Genomic DNA, 22,230 nt, shown 5'->3' on the forward strand with positions numbered 1-22,230 from the left:
CACGGTGGCTCACGCCTGTAATCCCAGCACTTTGGGAGGCCATGGCAGGTGGATCACGAAGTCAGGAGATCGAGACCATCCTGGCTAACACGGTGAAACCCTGTCTCTACTGAAAATACAAAAAATTAGCCGGGCGTGGTGGCGGGCGCCTGTAGTCCCAACTACTCGGGAGGCTGAGGCAGGAGAATGGCGTGAACCCGGAAGGTGGAGTTTGCAGTGCGCCGAGATTGTGCCACTGCACTCCAGCCTGGGCGACAGAGCGAGACTCCGTCTCAAAAAAAAAAAAAAAAAAATGGTTTTCCATGAAAAAAATCTATTTCAGCTCACAGTTCAACCAATTGCAAAAGTGCTTTTGATTTGGGCAACCAAATCCTCAGGACAACCCTTATACTCAGGTACACAGCAGAAATGCTTTGTGTGTACTTGGTCACATATAACTCAAAGGTAGAGATTTAATAAAAATTCATACTTTTTACCATTTCATTAAGGATATTCTAAAATGAAATTGACATTATTTTTAGCCTGAGTGCATGGCAATGAAAAATATAGCTACTAGTATAGTTTGGTGTCATTGCCTCAATTTGTGCTGAAGTACCAACAGTATTATCCACCATTCCTTTTCGCCATCAGTGCAAATGTTCATAAAGTAAAAAGGATAAATAATGTCTTAGTATTGTTATGAAAGATTTTTAACCTCACAGATTCCTTGAAAGTGTCTCAGGAACCCCTCCCCATACCTCTACCTTTAAGGTTTGTGGACTACATTTTGAGAGCTGCCGATATGTGGTATTAGATTCTTTGTTTATGCATGGAAGAAAATAAATATACTAATAGCCAAAAAATTATTACCTTGTTAGAAGCTACCATAAATATATTAACTAATTTGTTACATAAGGGCATATCTTACAGTTAATCATCATATATGGTAGTCCTTAACCCAGGGCTTCCTTGACTTAATCACAGAATCTGCTCTGTTTCAAAATCAGTATCTTCCAAAAGAGTTCATATTAGACAACATGGAGGACCCCCTGTGTTCTCCTGTTTTTCCTGTTTCCTCTGACACTTGGGAGTTCATTTTAGTGTTATGGAGTAACTAGGCTTTTGCCTAACTGACTTACAGTTTCCATTGGGTTTTCTTGTTGGCAGAGCTGCTATATCCCCTTCCCAAGGCCAGCTTCCAGCTAGGATCATTGATTGGGGTGTTCAGCCAACTTCTTGGGAATAAGTGGACTGAGAATCTGGAGTTTGGATTATAGTTGCTGTTCAATTCACTTTGTGACCTTAAAAAAATCACTCACTCCCTTGGACCTCTTTCAAGTTATGTACCTATGTATGTATGTATTTTAGAGACAAGGTCTCACTCTGTCATCCAGGCTGAAGTGCAGTGGGGCATGATCATGGCTCACTGCGGTCTCAAACTCTGGTTTCAAACAATCCTCCCTGCCTCAGCCTTCTGAGTAGCTGGGACTACAGGCGCTCACCACCATGCCCAGCTAATTTGAAAAAATTGTTTGTAGAGATAGGATCTTGCTATGTTGCCGAGGCTAGTCTAGAATTCCTGGCCACAAATGATCCTCCCATCTCAACCTCTGAAAGTGCTGGGATTACAGGAGTGTACTATCATGCCTGGCCCAGGTTCCTTATATTGTAAAATGAAAAGGACTAGACTAAATAATAGCTAAGGCCTTAAAAAAAAAACAAAAAGCAAAAAACCTCTATATTGCCATAGCAAACCAGGAGAATTCCTCCTCCTACCTCAGATTGTACAGCATGTGACCCAAGCAAAGCCTAATGTATATTATAGAATAAGAGGGATGAGTGACATGGTCAAAGAAACAAACGAGAAGGTTGACTCAACAATATTTAGCCGAAACAATAGCTGTAATAGCCTAGCTTCCTCTTGCAATTAGAAAAGACAGCTTGGTTTGTTTTTTGGTTTTTGTTTTTTTGAGACAGTCTCGCTCTGTTGCCCAGGCTGGAATACAGTGGCATGATCTCGGCTCACTGCAACCTCTGCCTTCTGGGTTCAAGCAATTATCCTGCCTCAGGCTCCTGAGTGGCTGGGATTACAGGTCCCCACAACCACGCCTGGCTGATTTTTTGTATTTTTAGTAGAGCTGGGGTTTCACTATGTGGGCCTGGCTGGTCTTGAACTCCTGACCTCAAGTGATCTGCCCACCTCAGCTTCCTAAAGTGCTGGGATTATAGGCGTGAGCCACTGCACCTGGCCTAAAAAACACAGCTTGGTTTTTTAAAATGATGACAGCAATGCGTGTTCATTATTGAAAACTTAGCAAGTAATGACAAGCAAAAGAAAATATTAAATATATATATAATCCAGCCACCTGGAACAGCCAATTCTTAACAGCTTTCAAAATTTCCTCTATGAACAGACTTTCTTTTTATAAATATGATATTGTTATTCTTTTATAATTTTTAATATTATACAAACATCCCCTAAAATATAAATAGCTATAATATATTCCTTTTGGGGATGTATGCAATTTGATTAATATACGCCTTTAGAAATGTCAACTATTCCCAACTTCCTGCAATGAGTAATAGTGCTTGGATAAACATTCCTATTGTCCTTTTCCAAATCTTTAGTTATTTTCTTAGTATAAATTCTTACAAATGGAATTTGTACATCAAAGGGCATGCATACCTTTCAGGTCTTTGGTACTTATCATCTTATTCTATTCTAAAAACTTTCTCCCAAATTATAACCTTACCAGGTGAGTAAGTAAATGCTGGTTTCCTATACTGTTACCAACATTGAGCATTTTAATTTTTTTTATCCTTACCAGTTTGATAAGTGGAAATTTCTCTTATTATAATTTGCATTTTCATACATTTTTGGAAGGTTTATTCAGTGAGTATAATTCCTAAACAAAAATTCAGGAGTTGTGGTCTGGAAACCAAAAAGTTATTTGTTGTCTGATGTGAAAATTTATTTATATGGAAAATCTTAGAAAGTCAGACAAATTCAATTACAGTTTTCTTGGTGTTTTTGTTTGTTTGTTTGAGACAGAGTCTCACTTGGTTGCCCAGGCTAGAGTGCAGTGGCATGATCATGGCTCACTGCAGCCTCGACCTCCCGGGCTCAAACGATCCTCCCACTTCAGCCTCCCGAGTAGCTGGGACTACAGGTGTTTGCCACCACACCCGGCTAATCTTTGTATTTCTTGTAGAGACAGGGCTTCGCCATGTTGCCCAAGCTGGTCTCTAATTCCTGGGCTCGAGTGATCTGCCCGCCTCAACCTTCCAGAGTGCTGGGATTACAGGCATGAGCTACTGGGCCCAGCCTAAATTACAGTTATTAATAAACTTAACAATATTTACAGGTCTAAGTGTAATTAAATAAAATTGAGATTATTCCTCTAAAACCAGTAGGCATAATCTCCAAAATGTTAAGAGAACAGTATTGGGGAAAAAAATCTAGTAAAGAAAGGGTTTTTTAAGTTAAAGTATCAAGAGCTAGGTTGACATTATTTGTACAAATGGATTTGGTTATAAAATAGGTTTTCTTTTCTTTTTTTTTTTTTTTTTTTTTTTAGGATGGAGTCTTGCACTGTTGCCCGGGCTGGAGTGCAGTGGCACGATCTTGGATCACTGCAACCTCCGCCTCCTGGGTTCAAGTGATTCTCCTGCCTCAGCCTCCGGAGTAGCTGGGATTACAGGCACCTGCCACCACGCCCAGCTAATATTTTGTATTTTTAGCAGAGACGGGGTTTTACCATGTTGGCTAGGCTGGTCTCGAACTCCTGATCTCATGATTCACCCGCGTCGGCCTCCCAAAGTGCTGGGATTACAGGCGTGAACCACCGTGCTCCGCCGAGGATTGATTTCTTTCTTTTTTGTTTGTCCTTTAACCCTGGTTTTGGTCAGAAGCAACCTGGTTCTTTCTCAGAGTTAAACATTATCACCTCTTTGGTTAAGACAAAGCACAGGACTTACTTGGGAAGAATCCCCTGAATTAAAGATATGAAGAACCAAGGAAACTGATGTGTATTGAATACATATGTAAATGCCAAGCTGCCGCATTGCAAAGTGCATGTAGCATCATAGAGTCGACTATATAAATCTAGAAACAGCTCGCCTGAGTTTGAATGCTGGTTTTGCCACTGACTAGCATTGTGATCTTAGGCAAGAATACTTAAGTTCTCCGTATCTGTTTCCTCCTCAGTAAATTGATAATTGATTGGCTGATTTCTTCATTCACCAAATATTTATTGTCTATTATATGCGAAATAGTATTCTTGGTCTGGGGATATAGCAATGAACAAAGCAGATAAAAATCTTTGCATTAATGGAACTTACATTCCAGTGGGAGAGACAACTAAGGAAAATATAAAGTAAGTTAGATGGGAAAATGTGCTGCAGAGCAAAAGTAAAATGGGAAAGGGGAATGCTCAGTACCGATAGGAAGGAAATTGTAGAGTCAACAGGAAAGGCTACCAAGAAAGTGATATTAATACTTGAGTAATGATCTAAGAGAAATGAGCAGTTGTGCTATGTGAATACCTGAGGCAGGTCATTCTAAGCAGGAGAAACGGCACACACCAAGGCTCTGAAAGCAGGGCTATGCCTGGTGTTTTTGAGAAAGTAAAGAGACCATTGTGACTAGCATGGAATAAATGTCAGGCAAGTAAGTAGGAGATGAGACAGGGAAAAATTGGACTCATCCTTTTTTTTCTATTTTCTTCTTTTTTTTTTTTTGTTTTATTCGTTTGTTTTTAGATGGAGTCTCACTCTATTGCTCGGGCTAGAGTGCAATGGCGCAATCTCAGCTCACTGCAACCTCCTCCTCCTGGGTTCAAGCAATTCTCCCACCTCAGCCTCCTGAGTAGCTGGGATTACAGGCACCCGCCATCATGCCCAGCTAATTTTTGTATTTTTTGTAGAAACAGGGGTTCACCATGTTGGCCAGGCTGGAACTCTTGACCTCAAGTGACCCACCTGCCTCTGCCTCCCAAAGTGCTGGGATTACAGGCGTGAGCCACCGTGCCTGGCCTGTACTCACCTTTTAAGATTGAAACAAATATAGAACACTTTGAACATTGCCTGGTTATATCCATTCCTATTACCACAAAAATGCTGTATAACAAACTGAATTTCAGTGGAGTACAATGATCAATGTTTATTTTTGCTGACAAATCTAGATTTTGGCTGGGCAGTTTTTCTGATCTTAACTCATTCATGCTCCTTCAGTCAGCCATGGGTTGTGTAGGCAGCTCTGCTGATCTCTGCTATCCTCTCTCACATGTTTGGTGATGTAGGATGGCCACAGCTGGGGCTATTTGGCCCTCTTTCCTGTGACGTCTCGTCCTCCAAGAAGCCACCTCTGGCTTGTTCTCATGTCAGTGGCAGGGTTCCATGAGAGAGTGGAAGGCAGTTGGAACTGGAACCTCATTAGCTCTGCCACATTCTACTGGTCAAAGCAAGTCACAAGGCTAGCCCAGATTCAAGAAGTGGGGAAACAGACTCTATCTCTTGATGGGTAGAACAGCAAACTCACATTGTTAAGAGACATAGACTCATAGCAGGTAGAAAATTGAGGCCATGTTAGTTATCAGTCTACCACATCGGCACATAATAAAATCTCGAGAAATATTAGTTACTGTTTTTACTTGTGTGAATTGCCTAGTTTTATTTTGGGATTTTTAAAATTAGGATTATTACTTTGTAAGAGCCCCTCATAGATGTTTCAGTTGTTTTTGATCTTTGAACTTTTGGGGTAGATTATTGTTGCTTTTTGCTTTTTTGCTTTATCCCTACAAAAGTTTAAATTTTTATACAGTCAGAAATATCAGTCTTTTCCTTTATGATTTCTGCCTTTGGTCTCATTCCTAGAAAGTCCTTCTCCACCCCAAGATTATGTATTTTAAAAATCACCTACATTTTCTTTTTTTTTTTTTTTTTTTTTTTTTTCAGACAGAGTCTAGCTCTGTCACCCAGGCTGGAGTATAGTGGAACAATCTCATCTCTCTGTAACCTCTGCCTCCCAGTCTCAAGCAGTCCTCCCACGTCAGCCTTCCAAGTAGTTGGGACTACAGGTGTGAGCCACCACACCTGGCTAATTTTTGTATTATTTGTAGAGACAAGGTTTCACCATGTTGCCCAGGCTGATCTCAAACTCCTGGGCTCAAGCAATCCTTCCACCTCAGCCTCCCAAAGTGCTACGATTACAGGCATGAGCCACCACACCCAGCATCTACATTTTCTTCTAGTACTTTTATGTTTCATTTTTCACACTTAAACCCTTTATCTATCATGAGGGCTGACTTTTTTAAAAAGACTTCTTCAAATTATTGAGTGAAACAAAAAGGAAATCAACACCGAAACTGCAAAACTGCAAGAAGTATAAAAGGAAGTCCAGCTTATGAAATCTGGATTTCCCGTTCACCATAGCTTACATTAGAAAGACTCTGCCCAGAGGGATGGCCCGGGCCAGATGCTACAGAGAGAGACATGCAGGGAGCTAGTTAGTCAGGGGTTCAGATCTAGGGAGGGTGCATTTGTGAATTCCTTTTTAGGAAGTGTGTTTGAAGTTAATATGATGAAACTTACACTTCATATAGAGGAGAGTATGAAAGAAGGGAAAGTGCATCAAACCTGTGCGTTTCACAGTAGAAGCTCCGTCCTCACAGCTTAGTAAACACCAATGATCCTGTCTCTAATTCTCTGTCTGTAAAAGGTTCTTTTGAACCCCAGGAAAAGTAGTTGACATGAGAAAAGCGTGCTTCTTGGACAGAGGTGAGGGAGTAGGCAGGAGAGTGGTATAAAGTGATAGGTGGTTTGCAGACGCGGGCACGTCAGGGAACCTTTGCAGACAGGTGGCCCTAGCTGATGTCCCTAGACCTTGCTCAGTTGAGTTCTTTGTGCACATCTCCCACTGGGCTCCTCTGGCCCAGAGATGAGGTTGTCTGCTGAAAGATGCAGTAAAGAGGCTTTAAAGATTTTGTGGCCTTGAACCAATCACACAAGCAAGGCTGAAAGGACTGAGCCTAAAATGGAGCTGCCCCTGAATGATCTGAGTCTTCATCAGGCAGCACCTTGCACACAGACCATCATCTGATGATGGGAACAAACTTGTGTTTGGGTGAAACAGGCTTCCCCATTGCAGTTACTATAACACCTGTGTGGTAGTAAGGTGCAGAATTACTCAATGCCCACTTCAAGTTTACCATTGAGATGATTTCCCACCCCCCTCCTCTAACTGGCACCATTGCCCATAACTAATTTCTTGCTCTCCCCAGGTGCCTCAAGAACCTCTTGGGGGCCTTTATATTCTGTCATGCTTACCTAGCTGATCGGGACATGGAGTGTCTGTCTTAGTAACCAAGCCTCAGTCAGCTAAAGGAGCTGCATCTGATTCATATCCTAATGTGGACCACCAATCTTGAGCCCCTTGGAGCTCTGCTAGAGAAAGTTGCTGCTACTCTCGAGACCCTCACGTTAAAGGACTGTCAGATCCAGGACTCCCAACTCAGGCTCCTCCTGCCTGCCCTGAGCCACTGCTCCCAGCTCACCACCTTCTACTTTCATGGAAACGAGACCTCCATGAATGCTCTGAAAGACCTGCTGTGTCACACAGGCGGGCTGAGCAAGTTAGGCCTGGAATTGTATCCTTCCCATCTGGAGAGTCTTGACAACAGGGGTCATGCCAATTGGGAGATCCTTGCCCCAATTCGGGCTGAGCTGATGTGTACAGTCAGGGAAGTCAGGCAGCCCAAGAGGATCTTTTTTGGTCCCGTCCCCTGCCCTTCCTGTGGCTCATGGCCATCTGAGAAAGTGGACCTCCATCTTTGCTCTTAGGGAAGGCCTGATTAGTGGGATGGATACGCTTTCTTCTGGACCCTTGGGCACTAAAATCTAGGACACAGGTGCTTTTTTTTTTTTGATGGAGTCTCGCTCTGTCCCTCAGGCTGAAGTGCAGTGGCACAATCTCAGCTCACTGCAACTTCCACCTCCCAGGTTCAAGTGATTCTCCTGCCTCAGCCTCCCTAGTAGCTGGTGTTACTGGCATGCACCACCACACCCAACTAATTTTGTATTTTTTTTTCTTTTTTTTTTTTGAGACGGAGTCTCGCTCTGTCACCCAGGCTGGAGTGCACTGGCACGACTTCGGCTCACTGCAACCTCTGCCTCCAGGGTTCATGCCATTCTCCTGCCTCAGCCTCCAGAGTAGCTGGGACTACAGGTGTCCACCACCACACCCAGCTAATTTTTGGTATTTTTAGTAGAGTCAGGGTTTCACCAAGTTAGCCAGGATGGTCTCAATCTCCTGACCTCGTGATCCACCCGCCTCGGCCTCCCAAAGTGTAATTTTTGTATTTTTAGTAGAGACAGGGTTTCACGATGTTGGAGGAGGCTGGCCTCAAACTCCTGACCTCAAGTGATCTGACTACCTTGGCCTTCCACAGTGCTGGGTTTACAGGCATGAGCAGCCTGGCCCGGTCAGGTGCATCTTAAAGGAAGCACACGGTCATGTGTTTCAGGCACGTGCTGACTGTGAGTGGAAAAACAAAGGTGACTCAGCTGGGGGCAGAACTGGGTGAAAATGCTGACTTGGCATCAATAAAGCCTTCAGGGACCTGTTTCCTAGACTCAGAAATGGAACCTGAAGTTCTAGAATGATGCAGGAGTTACCCTCGCACGGATGGTTATTTAAAAATGTCAAAAATAAATGGAACCTGAATGGAAAAAAAAAAAAAGAAAGACTCTGCCCATTCTGCCCACTCTGAGATTGTCTATGCTTCCTGTTTGGCATTCAAGAGGAAGTCCTCATATTTCCCAGCCATATTTTGCTGGTATCTTTAATATTTAATCCCACTTGTGGTCAACACCGAAAGGAAAATTCTATTTCTGCCTCACATCTCAGGTGGAGTTGTAGTGACTGAAATAATCACAGGTTGATGAAGCCTGCTTGCTACAATGTATAAGGTCCATACTGTCAGGGCTACATAGATCTAACTATTCTAACACTGAGATTTATACATCTATACATTATTTTTATTCTCATAGGAATTCTTTTTAAGGTTTCGTAGCTTTCTCCTCTGCCAAGATACAAAATAGGGAACCACAAATTATTTATTTAAAAAAGAAATAGATGAATGATATTAGATTCCAACTACCAATTGGACAGCTCCTGAGGTCTCACAGTCAGCCACTTTTTTATCTTATAAGTGATATGGTTTGGCTGTGTCCCCACCCAAATTGAATCATGAGGCAGTTACCCCCATGCTGTTCTCATGATACTGAGTTCTCACAAGATCTGATGGTTTTATAAGGGGCTTTTTCCTCTTTGCTCAGCACTTCTCCTTCCTGCCACCACATGAATAAGGAGGTGTTTGCTTCCCCTTCTGCCATGATTCTAAGTTTCATGAGGTCGCCCCAGCCATGCTGAACTGTGAATCAATTAAACCTGTTTCATTTATAAGTTACCCAGTCTTGGGCATTTCTTCATAGCAGCATGAGAATGGACTAATACAATAAATACTTATTGAACACCTATTATGTTGTTGAATCTCAATATCACCTTTTCCTAAATTGACGGAATTCCCCTGGCTTGCTTTTTTGCCATTGTTCTTTGCCTCAGTGTCACCATTTACGCAAGTCCAAAGCCTAGGAGCCATTCCTTGCTTTTTTCTCTATTTCCTTTACCTTTTCCACCAACACCAAGTCCTGGATAGTCTTCACATTCTTTCTCCTTTCTTTGTTCCCAGTATCACCATCATAATCCAAATCTTCCTCATCATGAGTCCCAGCATCAATTTTTGCTTACCACTAATATATTTTCCTTATGAAAATAGAGATCTTTAGGAACTACAAATGTGACATGTCATACTTCAGTTTGCAATTTTTCTTTACTTGTCATTAAACAATCAAAACTCTCTTGTGGTTTAGAAATCCCTATACAGTCTGACCCCTGTGTAGCTCTCCCAGCTTCTCCTCTCACTCAGTGAACTCAATGCTTCAGCCAGAGAGTTTATGTCCTTATCTCCTGGCCTTAAATTAACATAAGCTGATCTCTTATTTGGAACATTCTTTTCTTTCTCTCCCATTTCCAGAGCCTAATACTTATTCATTTATCTTAAGAGTTATGAAATATTATACACAAAAAATGTAATGCATATACGTATATACATGTGACTAAAAGGATGAAAAATGTGTCAATATATAAAATGATATTTCTAGTATGAAAAATATATCTATATGTAAAATGATATTTCTAGTACCGTTGAAGTTCCTTGAGTGCCCCCTTCAACCATGTCCCTTTCCTCATACCAGAGATAACCACAGTCTTGAATTTTGTAATTGCTGTCCTCTTGCTTTTCTTTATAAACATTACAACAAATGTATATTTCCCTAAACAACATATGATTTAGTTTTGCATAATGAAACTAGTTTCACATGGATATGGTTCATTTTTACTGTTGTAAGATATTTCATTGTGTGACTATTCCAAAAATTTACTTTTTATTTTGTCAATGAATATTTGGGCTTCCATTTTCTTGATATTACAAGCAATATTGCTATGAATATTCTTATAATGTCTCCTGATACATATGTGTAAGAGTATGAATTTAAGAGAACAATTACTAGGTTGTAGGATGTACATTCTCAACTTTACCAAATAATGCCCAATTCTTTTTCCAAAGTGGTTATACTAATTTACTTCCTTCTCTCCATATAGTATTCATGAGTAGCCATTGATCCACTGTCCTTAGCAGCTCTTGTTGTTGTCAAGCCTTTTGCCAATCCAATGGTTGTAATGGTATTACTTGGCTTTTATATATATTTGCTGTGTTACTAATGAGTTTGAACATGTTTTCGTGTTTCTTTGCCATTTGTATTTTGTGCCTGTTTATGTCTTTTGCCCATTTTCCTGAGTTATCTTTTTCATATTGAATTTACACTCTACAGTATTTATACATTTTAGATATTGTTCACTTGTTTTCCAGTATTCAAAAAACATGACTAGTCATGGTGGCTCACGCCTGTAATCTCAACACTTTGGGAGGCTGAGGCAAGAGCATTACTTAAGCCCGGAAGTTTGACACCTGCCTGGGCTATATAGGAACACCCTGTATCTACAAAACATTAAAAAAAAAATTAGCTGGGCATAGTGGCATTCATCTATGGTCCCAGCTACTCGGAAGGCTAAGGTGGGAGGATTGCTTGATCCTGGGAGGTCGAAGCTGCAGCGAGCCATGATCATGCTGCTGCACTCCAGCCTATGCGACAAAGGGAGACTCTGTCCAGCCTATGCGACAGAGGGAGACTGTCTCCAAAAAAATATGTATATTTAATCTGTGTTTAATCTGTACAAGCCACTGAGCTAAACTCTAAGAATACAGCTGTGGATAAGACAGAAACTGCTCCTGCCCTCATGGGTTTATCCCCTCACTTAAAGGGGGTCAAAAAGTAAACTAATAAATCTCTAAACTAATAAATCTCTAAATGGTAACATCATCTTAGCTTTGTACTTTCTGAGGGTGAAGTTACCAGACCCCTACTAAATTCTTTCCCCCTGAATCCTGTATTAATACTTCCATAGTACAAACATTATTATTAATAATGTTTTTCTTCACCACTAGTTGACAAGTTTTCTGAAATCAGCAGCCTATTTTTTTGTTTTTCATTTCTGTACCTCCACTACTTAACATGGTCATTACATAAGGGATGCAAAATAAATATATTCATTGAATGGATGAATGAAAATATGTCATTACTAATAATAACTGAAAATTCAGTGTTCACTATTGATATCTAGGGAGTATAGGTCTAGATCTGGCATTTTGATACTGACAATTACAGGTATAACTTTCAGTAGAAAGTAGATATTTCAAGCCCTATATAAAGTAGCTGGGTGCAGATTTCTTAATACAAAAACCCGGTTGCCTATGTCTACATGTTAGGTAAGCCAATTTAGATTTAGTCATTTTATACCAAAGTTATTTACAGAAAAAAAGTAGACCTAGTTGTATTATCAAAAAATTAGAGTTGACTGGGCACAGTGGTTCACTCTTGTAATCCCGGCACTTTGGGAGGCTGGGGTGGGTGGACCACTTTAGCTCAGGAGCCCAAGACCAGCTCGGGCAACATGGCAAAGCCGTATCTCTACAAAAATTACAAAAATTAGGGCGTGGTAGCATGTGCCTGTAGTCCCAGCTACTTGGGAAGCTGAGGTAGGAGGATCGCTTGCACCTCGGGAGGCGGAGGTTGCAGTGAGCCAAGATTGCACCATGGCACTCCAGCCTGGGTGACAGAGCTAGACCTTGTCTCACAAAAGAAAAAAAAAAAAAAGCCAAGGCAATACAACCTAGTAAGAGTGATAAGGCACATACTAATAAATAATTAGAATACAAGGCAGAAGGTGATAAGTACCACAGAGTGGAGAGATTGATATGGAAGATCAGGGAAAAGATATTACTTCCAGGATAAAAAGGAGGGGGAAAGGCCAGGTGTGGTGCCTCATGCCATAATCCCAGCACTCCTAGGAGGATGAGGCAGGAGGATTGCAGGAGCCCAGGAGTTCAAGACTAGCCTGAGTAATATAGTGAGACCTCGTTTCTACAAAAAATGTAAAAAGCCAGATGTAGTGGCACACTTCAGTGGTCTCAGGAGGCTGAGGTGAGAGGATAGCTTGAGCCCAGGAGGCAAAGGTTGCAGTGAGCCGTGATTGCGCCACTGCACTCTAGCCTGGGCGACAGAGCAAGATCCTGTTTCCAAAAAAATAAAATAAAACAAAGAAAAAAGAATACAATATATTGTTAACTATAATCATCATGTAGTACAATAGATCTTTTGAACTTATTCTTCCTATCTAAGTGAAATTTTGTATCCTTTGACCAGCATCTCTCCAACTCCCTCCTTTCACCAGCAGTCACCTCAGCTGCTAGTAACTACCTTTCTACATTTTTTCTTTTTTAAGACAGAGACTTGCTCTGTTGCCCAGGCAGGAGTGCAGTGATGTGATCTCAGCTCACTGCAACCTCTGCCTCCCAAGTTCAAGTGATTCTCCTGCCCCAGCCTCCTGAGTAGCTGGGATCACAGGTGCGTGCCACCTATGATATATATGTGTGTATATATATTTTTTATATATGTTTATATATATGTATATATAAATATATATATTATATATTTATATATATTTTATAATATATATTTATATATATAAATATATAATATATATATAAAAAATATATATAAATTAGCCTGGCTAAATTTTGTATTTTTAGTAGAGATGGGGTTTCACCATGTTCGCCAGGCTGGTTTCGAACTTCTGACCTCAGATGATCTGACCACCTATGCCTCCCAAAGTGCTGGGATTACAGACATGAGCCACCATGCCTGGCCAATTCTACTTTCTATAGTACTTCTATGAGATCAACTTTTTTACATTCCACATATGAGTGAGATCATGCAGTATGTGTCTTTCTGTTGCTGGCTTATTTCAGTTAACACTTTCCACCAGGTTCATCCATGTTGTCACAAATGACAGAATTTCCTTTTTTATGGCTGAATAATATTTCATTGTGTATGTATACCACATTTTCTATATCCATTTGTCAGCTGATGGACACAAGTTGATTCTATGTCTTGTCTATTGTGAATAATATATAGCAAACATGAGAGTGTGGATATCTCTTCCATATTGATTTCATTTTTTAAAGATATATTCCCAGTAGTGGGATTGTTGGATTGTATAGTAGTTCTATGTTTAATATTTTGAGAAACCTCCATACTGTTTTCCATAATGGCTGTATGAATTCATATTCCTACTAACAGTGTGTGCGGGTTCCCTTTTCTCCACCAAAGACTTGCTATCTTTGGTCTTTTCCATAATAGCTATTTTAACAGGTGTGAGATGATGTTTCATTGTGGTTTTAATTTGCATTTCCCTAATGTTGATGTTGAGCATTTTTTTCATATACCTGTTTGCCATTTATATGTTGCTTTTGAGAAATGTCTGTTTGAGTCCTTTGCCCATTTTTTATTGGGGTTGTTTTCTTGCTATTGAATTTATTGAGTTACTTGTATATTTTGGATATTAATCCCTTATGAGATGTATATTTTGCAAATATTTCCTCCCATTCTATAGGTTGTCTCTTCATTCTGTTTATTGTTTCCTTTGCTGTGCTTATTAGTTTGATGTAATCCCATTTGTCCACTTTTGCTTTTGTTGACTCTGCTTGTGGGGTCATATCCAAAAAATCATTGCCCACACTAGTGTTATGGAGCTTTTCCCATATATTTTCTGTCTTAGTTCATTTTCTGTTGCCATAATTGAATGCCTGAGGCTAGGTAATTTATAAAGAAAAGAAATTTATTATTTACGGTTCTGGAAGCTGGGAAGTGCAAGGTCGAGGGTCTTCTGCATCTGGTGAGGGCCTTCTCAGTGTGTCATAACATGGTGGAGGACATAACGCGGTGAGTGAGGCACACTGAGAACAAAACTGGCTCCTATGACAGATCTACTCTTCTGATAACTAACCCACTCCTGTTCTTCCCCATTAATTCACCCACTAATTCATGAATGGATTAATCCACTTATGAAGGCAAAGCCCTCATGACCCAATCATCTCTTAACAGCTTCACCTCTTAATACTGTTAAACTGAGGATTCAGTTTCAAAATGAGTTTCAAAGGGAACAAGCATTCAAACCATAACCATTTTCTGCTAGTAGTTTCACAGTTTAGGATCTTACATTTATGTCTTTAATCCATTTTCAGTTGATTTTTGTATATGGGATGAGATGAGGGTCTAATTTCATTCGACTGCATGTGAATCTCCAGTTTTCCCAACACCGTTCCCTGAAGAGACTGTCTTTTCGTGTGTTCCTGGCATCTTCGTCCAAAATCGGTTGGCCATAAATGTGTGGATTTATTTCTGGGCTTTCTAGGCTGTTCCATCAGCTATGTGTCTGTTTTATGCCAGTACCATGCTGTTTGGTTACTATAGCTTTGTTATATATATATATTTTATATATACGTATATTATATATATATAATATATACGTAATTCTTTTTTTTTTTTTTTTTTCTTGAGATGGAGTCTCGCTCTGTTGCCTAGGCTGGTGTGCAGTGGCGTGATCTTGGCTCACTGCAGCCTCTGCCTCCCTGGTTCAAGCGATTCTCCTGCTTCAGCCACCTGAGTAAGTAACTGGGATTACAGGTGTACACCAGCACACCCAGCTAATTTTGTATTTTTAGTACAGGGTTTCACCAGTTGGCCAGGTTGGTCTCAAACTCCTGACCTCAAGTGATCAGCCTGCCTTGGCCTTCCAAAGTGCTGGGATTACAGGTGTGAGCCACCATGCCTGGCCTTTGTAATAAGTTTTGAAGTGAGGTAGTATGATACCTCCAGCTTTATTCTTTTTACTCAAAATTGCTTTGGTTATTTGGAACCTTTTGTGGTTTCATACAAGTTTTGAGATTGTTTTTCTATTTCTGTGAAGAATGTCATTGGTATTTTGATAGGGATTGCATTCAATCTGTAGATCACTTTGTGAAATTTTTTTTTCAAAAACATAATCATAATACCATTGTCACACGTAAAAATAATTAACACTTATTTTTGACTGAACCAGTCTTAACAAGAAGCATACTAGCTATTAGCCAGGCCTCAGATGAGAGGATCTAGGCATCATCATTCACACAACAAAATATTTATGTGTAAATGACACACACTAACAAGCCTAAGTATTAAATAATGTACTGAAAGAGGAGAGTCTCTCTCCTGAGTAATTTACTAAGGACTTCAATTGTGAAAAGTATGCCCCAAACACCAATTAAGTGTGCCAAAAGCAATTTATTCATGTTTCTAGAGAAAAATAAAAGGGGAATATCTGAGTTGTGGTTTTCCATGTATGTGGATAGTCGCATTAGTAATGAATCAAGGAACACTTTATTTCATTTGTGAAGCAGCACTTGATTTTATATGCTCTGTGGTCTCAGTTGGCTTTACATAAGCCAGGGATAGGATTTAAGAAAAGAAATCTCTTCAAGTTCATGTATAATCAATTTATTTAGAACCTATAATCATTAAGTTAGCTGTGTCATATACAAAATTAGAAGAAAATTAACCAATTATCTTTTGTTACTTATTTTTTAGAACCTGAGATTTTTGTTCAACTTTGTAATGTGAACCTTTTCTGAAAGCTCTATTTGTCAGTGGCAGAAATATTACAAATATTTCTAGCATCATACAGTTTTTCATATGCCCTTAAGTAGTTTCTAACATTTTAACATTTTTATTCATATCTCTTAAAAAAGAAAATTTTGAAGAGTTCCTTTTCATTTATTTACAATGAAATTTGGAAACAAAAACTTATTACATTACAAAATCTAAAATAAAGTTACCTTTTTTAAAAAAATGGATCATAAACATTTTGTAAAAAGAGTTGAAAATAATCATTGTTCTTAAGTCTTACTGCTAGAGGAAGTTGTACACATTAAGGATGTATGTGGCACTGTTTCCAAAATAAATGTATATTTATGCTACATAAGACCAAGATTAGACCATTGAAGTTGTAATGATCATTCTAGTTCTCAAATTCAAATGCAATTTTTTTCAATACAAAAAAGAGACTGTACAATGAAGGAAAACTCATAATGCTTTTGACTTTACCAGATGCTAGAGGCTACTCAAAATAAAGGCCAGAATGTCTCCATATTTAGCGTAGTTCTTCTCTATACTCAACATACTTGTAGCTGAGTTCATGGTGTACATTTTTCGTGAATGGTTGTTTATAGGATGTTTATATATTATCTTGGCAAGATAACTTTGAAAGCCCACTGTTTTCCTAGCATTTTTCTATGGTTGCTAAACAATTTCTGCCCAATCTAAAAAATTACTTTCCTATACCAGCAGGTGGAGGCAAGAGCAGTCGAATTGTAGCACTTTGCTTTTCAAGTGTACTGGCATGTATTGTAGATTATCTATCCATGACTCAAAGTCTCTTTATGACGTGTCTCTCACATAATTACTTTTCTTCAACAACTCTGTTGTTGTTTTAGCATCTTCTTTTGATTGCTTTATTATTTGCTTTATTTACTTGGTGTCTGGGACTGAACTTAGTGGTCATTTTAGGACAGACTAATTTAGATTTTCATCACTTTCCTATACTCATTGATTGAACAGTTAAAACATATATGTTATATGCTGAACACATTCTTCCACATTTGCCAAGAAATACAAAAATGACTAAGACATGGACCACATTCCCAAAGAGCTTACATTCTAGTAGAATTACAAGGAAAAATGTCTTCAATTCCTCTCCTGACTTGGGGAAGCAGATCAGTCAGCCTTGCTGGTATAGCTATGGCTAGCATTGGGTAGTAATAAAGCTCAGTATTCACGTGGATTTTAATTCCATCAACAAATATTTACTAAGCACCAGGGACTACATTGGGGATTAATTTATAAACATAGGCTTTTTGTCTTACAGATAAAAAAGGCCAAAACAATCTTCAAAAGAAGTATCATTTATTTTTAAACTTCTTAATACAGATTATATAGAACAAATAGTTAACCGACATATAGATCCTGATGCATTGCATTTAAGGAACTTTCAGTTAGAAGTAACTGTGTGTAACATTTTCTAGAATATACTTAGAAAACTTTCCACAAATCCTGGTTGAAATAAAATAAAAGTATGTTACTCTACATCAATTCCATTAGCTGTTTATTTGTAGCCAATAATGATAAAAAATATATACAAACAGTATGAAAGAGGAGAACTGAGTTCTAAGGTTATGTCTGTATGTGCAGAATGAGAGATGGAGAAGAAACTCATAGTTATGGAAAACAGAAAAGAATGGCCCCAGAATTTCTTGCAAGACTTAGCAGCCACCAATATTCAGAACTGTCTTTAAGCCCCAACCTGTCCATCATCTTAATACATTGTGCATCAGAAATTTCCAACCCAATTAAACCATTTTTGTTTCCTTCATTGGTTTATTTATGAAAGTCACTAAAAAGACACAAATCTGGTCTAACCTATTTTAGCCTTACCTCTTATCCCTCCACATCCCATTAAACCCGTGTACCCACCTTACCTCATAGAGCTATCTTGAAAGACTCAGCCAGTTTAGAAGTTACATCCTCATTGAAGTCTTTCCTAGATTCCCCAAGGCAGAGTCACACACACTGTCCTCTTCATTCTCCATTGCCTTATTTATATAGAATTTGTTACCTGATATTCTGTTATTTCATTATTATTTTTAGAGACAGGGTCTTACTCTGTTACCCAGGCTGGAGTGCAGTGACACAATTGTGGCTCACTGTAGCCTGACCTCCTGGGATCAAGTGAGCGTCCCAAGTAGCTGGGACTATAGATGAGGTCTCACCACGTTGCCTAGGCTGGTCTTGAACTTCTGGGCTCAAGTGATCCTTTCTCTTTGGCTTCCCAAATTGCTGGGATTACAGGCGTGAGCCACCACACCCGGCCTGCTACCTGATACTCTAATGTCTCTTTCCGTATTTCTTCCTCACAAGTCTGTACTCTCCTGAAAGGTAATAACTTTGTCTTATTCATCTTTGTAACCTCAGTAAATATTTGCTGAAGGAATAACTGAATCAACTATTTCTTGAGAAGTCCTTTTATAATAAGCTTCTCTCTCCCCTTTTTTTTTTTTTTTTGCTGATGTCTGAATTATAGTCATAATTCCAGATGATAGATGATAGTAACAAGTCAATAAATCCTATCAATAGGGAATAAAGAACCAGCATTTATTGCATAGAGTGTTTTCTTAGGATACCTCAGCTGAGGCTGGGCACAGTGGCTCATGCCTGTAATCCCAGCACTTTGGGAGGCCGAGGCGGGTGGATCACCTGAGGTCAGGCGTTCAAGACCAGCCTGGCCAACATGGTGAAACCTTGTCTCGACTAAAAATACAAAAATTTGTATTCCAGCTACTCAAGGGGCCAAGGTGGGAGAATCACTTGAACCTGGGAGGTGGAGGTTACAGTGAGCCAAAATCATGCCATTGCACTCCAGTCTGGGTGAGAGAGCAAGACTTCGTTTCAAAAAAAAGAGAAAAGAAAAGAATGCCTCAGCTGAACCTTATCAATAAAAGATGTAGATTATTTGTTTGAGTACTTTAAGGAAGAATTTGCCATTTCCTGGGAGTACACTGTTTCCAAGTGATTTATTGATTACCTATGAACAGTTCATTAAAGGGCTCTGGAAAAAAATGAGACCTGGGTGCAGAGGGCAGCCATCCAGGTCTTCCATGTTTGAGTGGTTTTACTCTTTGAGAACAGGTGACTAAAAAGCTGCCCAAGTCTATGTGACCTGTTTTTCAGAGCTGGATGAAAGCTAAAGTGGGGCACTTCTCCACAGCCCCTGCAGCAATCTCTCAGGGAGTGGTATAGATAACAAGTCAGACATGTGATGTAAGCATGTATGCTTTAAGTCACCTTATTCTCTCCCCATTAAAAGCAAAGTACAAAATCAGAGAAGTGCAATTGGTGAGAAATTTGATGATTTCCTTTTCTGGGATGGGAGTTGCAGCATCAGTATAGGATAATAAAGAATAAGGGCCCTCAGATACTTTTCAGTTTATAAATAAAAATACAAAAGAATATGGGCTCTGGAGTCAGGCTTGGGTTTGAATCCCAGCTGCACAAATGCTATGTGACCTTGAGCAAGCTACTTCTCTGTAGCCAGTAAATTGGGTTGATAATATCTTCCTCTTGGCTTATTGGGAGGATTAAATAAGAACATGCATATAAACTCTTGGTGTAGTGTCTTGCAAAGGCCTGAGGAGAGCTTAACAGTTTGAGGGAGATGTGAAAGTAGTTCATTATGTCTGGAGCATAGATATGAGAGCAAAAGGATGGCACTGAGAAAGCCAGCATGGTAGTTAGGGCAGATTCAGAAGTAGTAGCTTGAACTTGATCCTGAAGTCACTGGGGAACCATGCCATTGAAAGGGAGTGTCATGATCAGATTTATGTTTTAGGATGATTACTCTGCAGGCAATCTGGAGAACAGATTAGAAAGCATCCAGAACCTCCCGGGTTTCTGATTTGGACAACTGAGTACATACTGGTGATCGTCCTTGAGATAAGAAATAAAGAAGGAGGACAGTTTTGGTTCTGGGGGCAAGGAAGATGAGCAATTTAATTTTAGACATACTGTATTAAGGTGACCATTGACATCCAAGTGGAGCTACCCAACAGGCAGTTGGTCATATGGGTCTAGAACTCAGGAGATTTGTGCTGGAGGTACAGATCTGGAAGTCTTTAGCTATAGGTGACATGTGTAGCCATACAAATGGAACAGGCATGGTGTGCAAGATGAAAAGAAAAGAGGCCATAGAACTGAATCCTGAAGAGCTCTAAGGAATCCTGAGAAGGGGCTAAAAACAAAAACAAAACCTAAAAAAAGACAACTGATGATAAAAATCATGAGGGAACAGCCAGAGACATCAAATGAAAAGAGGAATCATTATCACAAAAGCCCAAAGAGGGAAAAGTTCCCAAAAAAGAGGGAGTTAAAAACAGGAAAGAGTGGAAAACACTGTCATGTATCACAAAAAGTCAAGATGTAAATAGTGAAGAATGTCTGTTGCATTTAGTAGAAATCACTGGGGACCTTGGTGAGAGCAGTTTCCATTTTTTTATGAGACCAGGACCCAGATTGAAGTAGGGTGAAGAGTGTTTGGGACATAAGAACAAAAAGATAGTAGGGCTGGCTGGACCACTTTGAAAAGTCTTGAGGATGAAGGGAAAGGAAGAAATAGTGGTGTCTAGTGGGGGACCCAGGATCAAGGAAGTTTTTGTTTTTTTACTTAAGGTGGAGAAATGTAAATACTCCAGCACATGTGTGTATAAAGAGGCAGTACAAATGAGACATTTAACATTTTGCTGAGCCGGGCGCGGTGGCTCACGCCTGTAATCCCAGCACTTTGGGAGGCCGAGGCAGGCGGATCACAAGGTCAGGAGATCGAGACCATCCTGGCTAACACAGTGAAACCCCGTCTCTACTAAAAGTACAAAAAATTAGCCGGGCGTGGTGGTGGGCACCTGTAATCCCAGCTACTCGGGAGGCTGAGGCAGGAGAATGGCGTGAACCCAAGAGGCGGAGCTTGCAGTGAGCTGAGATCGTGCCACTGCACTCCAGCCTGGGTGACTGAGCGAGATTCTGTCTCAGAAAAAAAAAAAAAAAAAGATTTTGCTGAGAGAGATGATGTTTCATGGGTGATGTCTCTGGAAGAGATTGGATAGGACCCAAGCACAGAGCAAGAAATTGGCTTTAGGCAAGTCAGATTTGTCTTATACTAGTTAGGAGTAAAGAGAAATGGATGATACAGATGCAGCTATGTTCGTAGGAGGGAAGTGGAGGGAATTTCTGTGTGATGGCTTTAGTAATGTAGGCAGCAAGGTCAACTACTGACAGTGAGAGGAGAAATTCGGGGAGGCTGGTCACAGTTTGAAGTAATAGGTCATGGGAGGCAGATGTTTGTGGGTGGATTTTCCTGAAGGCTTGGGAGTCCAACTCAAATCAGAGGCCATGATATAATAGTATCAAAACCCATAGCTCTGTTCAGAGCCTGCTATGAGAATAGAGAAGGTAGCTGGTTAAAATGGTCCTGAGCAGAGGTTTTTAAGATTGATATAGCAGAAGGACTGGAAGTTGGGGTTTTGGTGAGAGATGGTTGACCTGATAGATGAAGTTCACTTCTAACAGTTGTGCAACCTGAGGTGAAACTACAATTGGAAGCCCACCCCTGGCCCCCTCCTGTACCATGAGGGGCCTCACATGTGTACGGATGCCCCCACCTATATGTCCAAACTCTGACCACACTCCCTGCTCTTAATGGCCACACCTCAGTGCAAGATATGTACAAACCAATGGTGCAGTTCACCCTCAGGAAAATGGACCCTAGGAAGGGGCCCACACAGATTCTGGGAGCCATTTGAGCAAGGGATTCTGGAGTCTTGTCACCCAAAGCACAGTTGCAGGATGTTAGTGGCAAGCTTTGCATGAGCACATCCCCTTACCTCATCTGAGCTGAGTGCAGACACAGGAGGGCCAGAGTGGAGCCTGCCAAAGTACAGCAGTCAGCCAGGCGCAGTGGCTCACACCTGTAATCCTAGCACTTTGGGAGGCCAAGACGGGTGGATCACCTGAGGTCAGGAGTTCAAGACCAGCCTGGTCAACATGGTGAAACCCCGTCTCTACTAAAAATACAAAAATTAGCTGGGCGTAGTG

General features: G+C 40.3%; 1 protein-coding gene and 1 pseudogene across 4 annotated transcripts in view, besides 1 other annotated feature; both read left to right on the plus strand.

Moving 5' to 3' along the window:
* NLN (neurolysin) overlaps positions 1-22,230 on the plus strand; it is a 107,079-nt gene that overhangs the window by 3,633 nt on the left and 81,216 nt on the right. Inside the window, exon 1 of one of the 4 annotated variants that reach the window (XM_047417444.1) lies at positions 15,106-15,163. The exons of the other annotated variants lie outside the window; for them this stretch is intronic. The gene's annotated coding sequence lies outside the window, so the exon portion shown is untranslated. Of the gene's footprint in view, positions 1-15,105; positions 15,164-22,230 lie in introns of those variants that run through there. 4 annotated transcript variants of the gene reach the window in all.
* Positions 1,468-1,517: a silencer, noted in NCBI's record as "silent region_16059". NCBI's record gives its function as "represses an Ori minimal core promoter by ATAC-STARR-seq in GM12878 lymphoblastoid cells {active_cell/tissue: GM12878}" and the evidence as "EXISTENCE:reporter gene assay evidence [ECO:0000049][PMID:35858748]".
* LOC100419549 (PRAME family member 17 pseudogene) lies at positions 7,257-7,930 on the plus strand (annotated as a pseudogene).

Source organism: Homo sapiens, chromosome 5 (genome assembly GCF_000001405.40).
Source record: "Homo sapiens chromosome 5, GRCh38.p14 Primary Assembly".
Classification (NCBI taxonomy): Eukaryota; Metazoa; Chordata; class Mammalia; order Primates; family Hominidae; genus Homo; species Homo sapiens.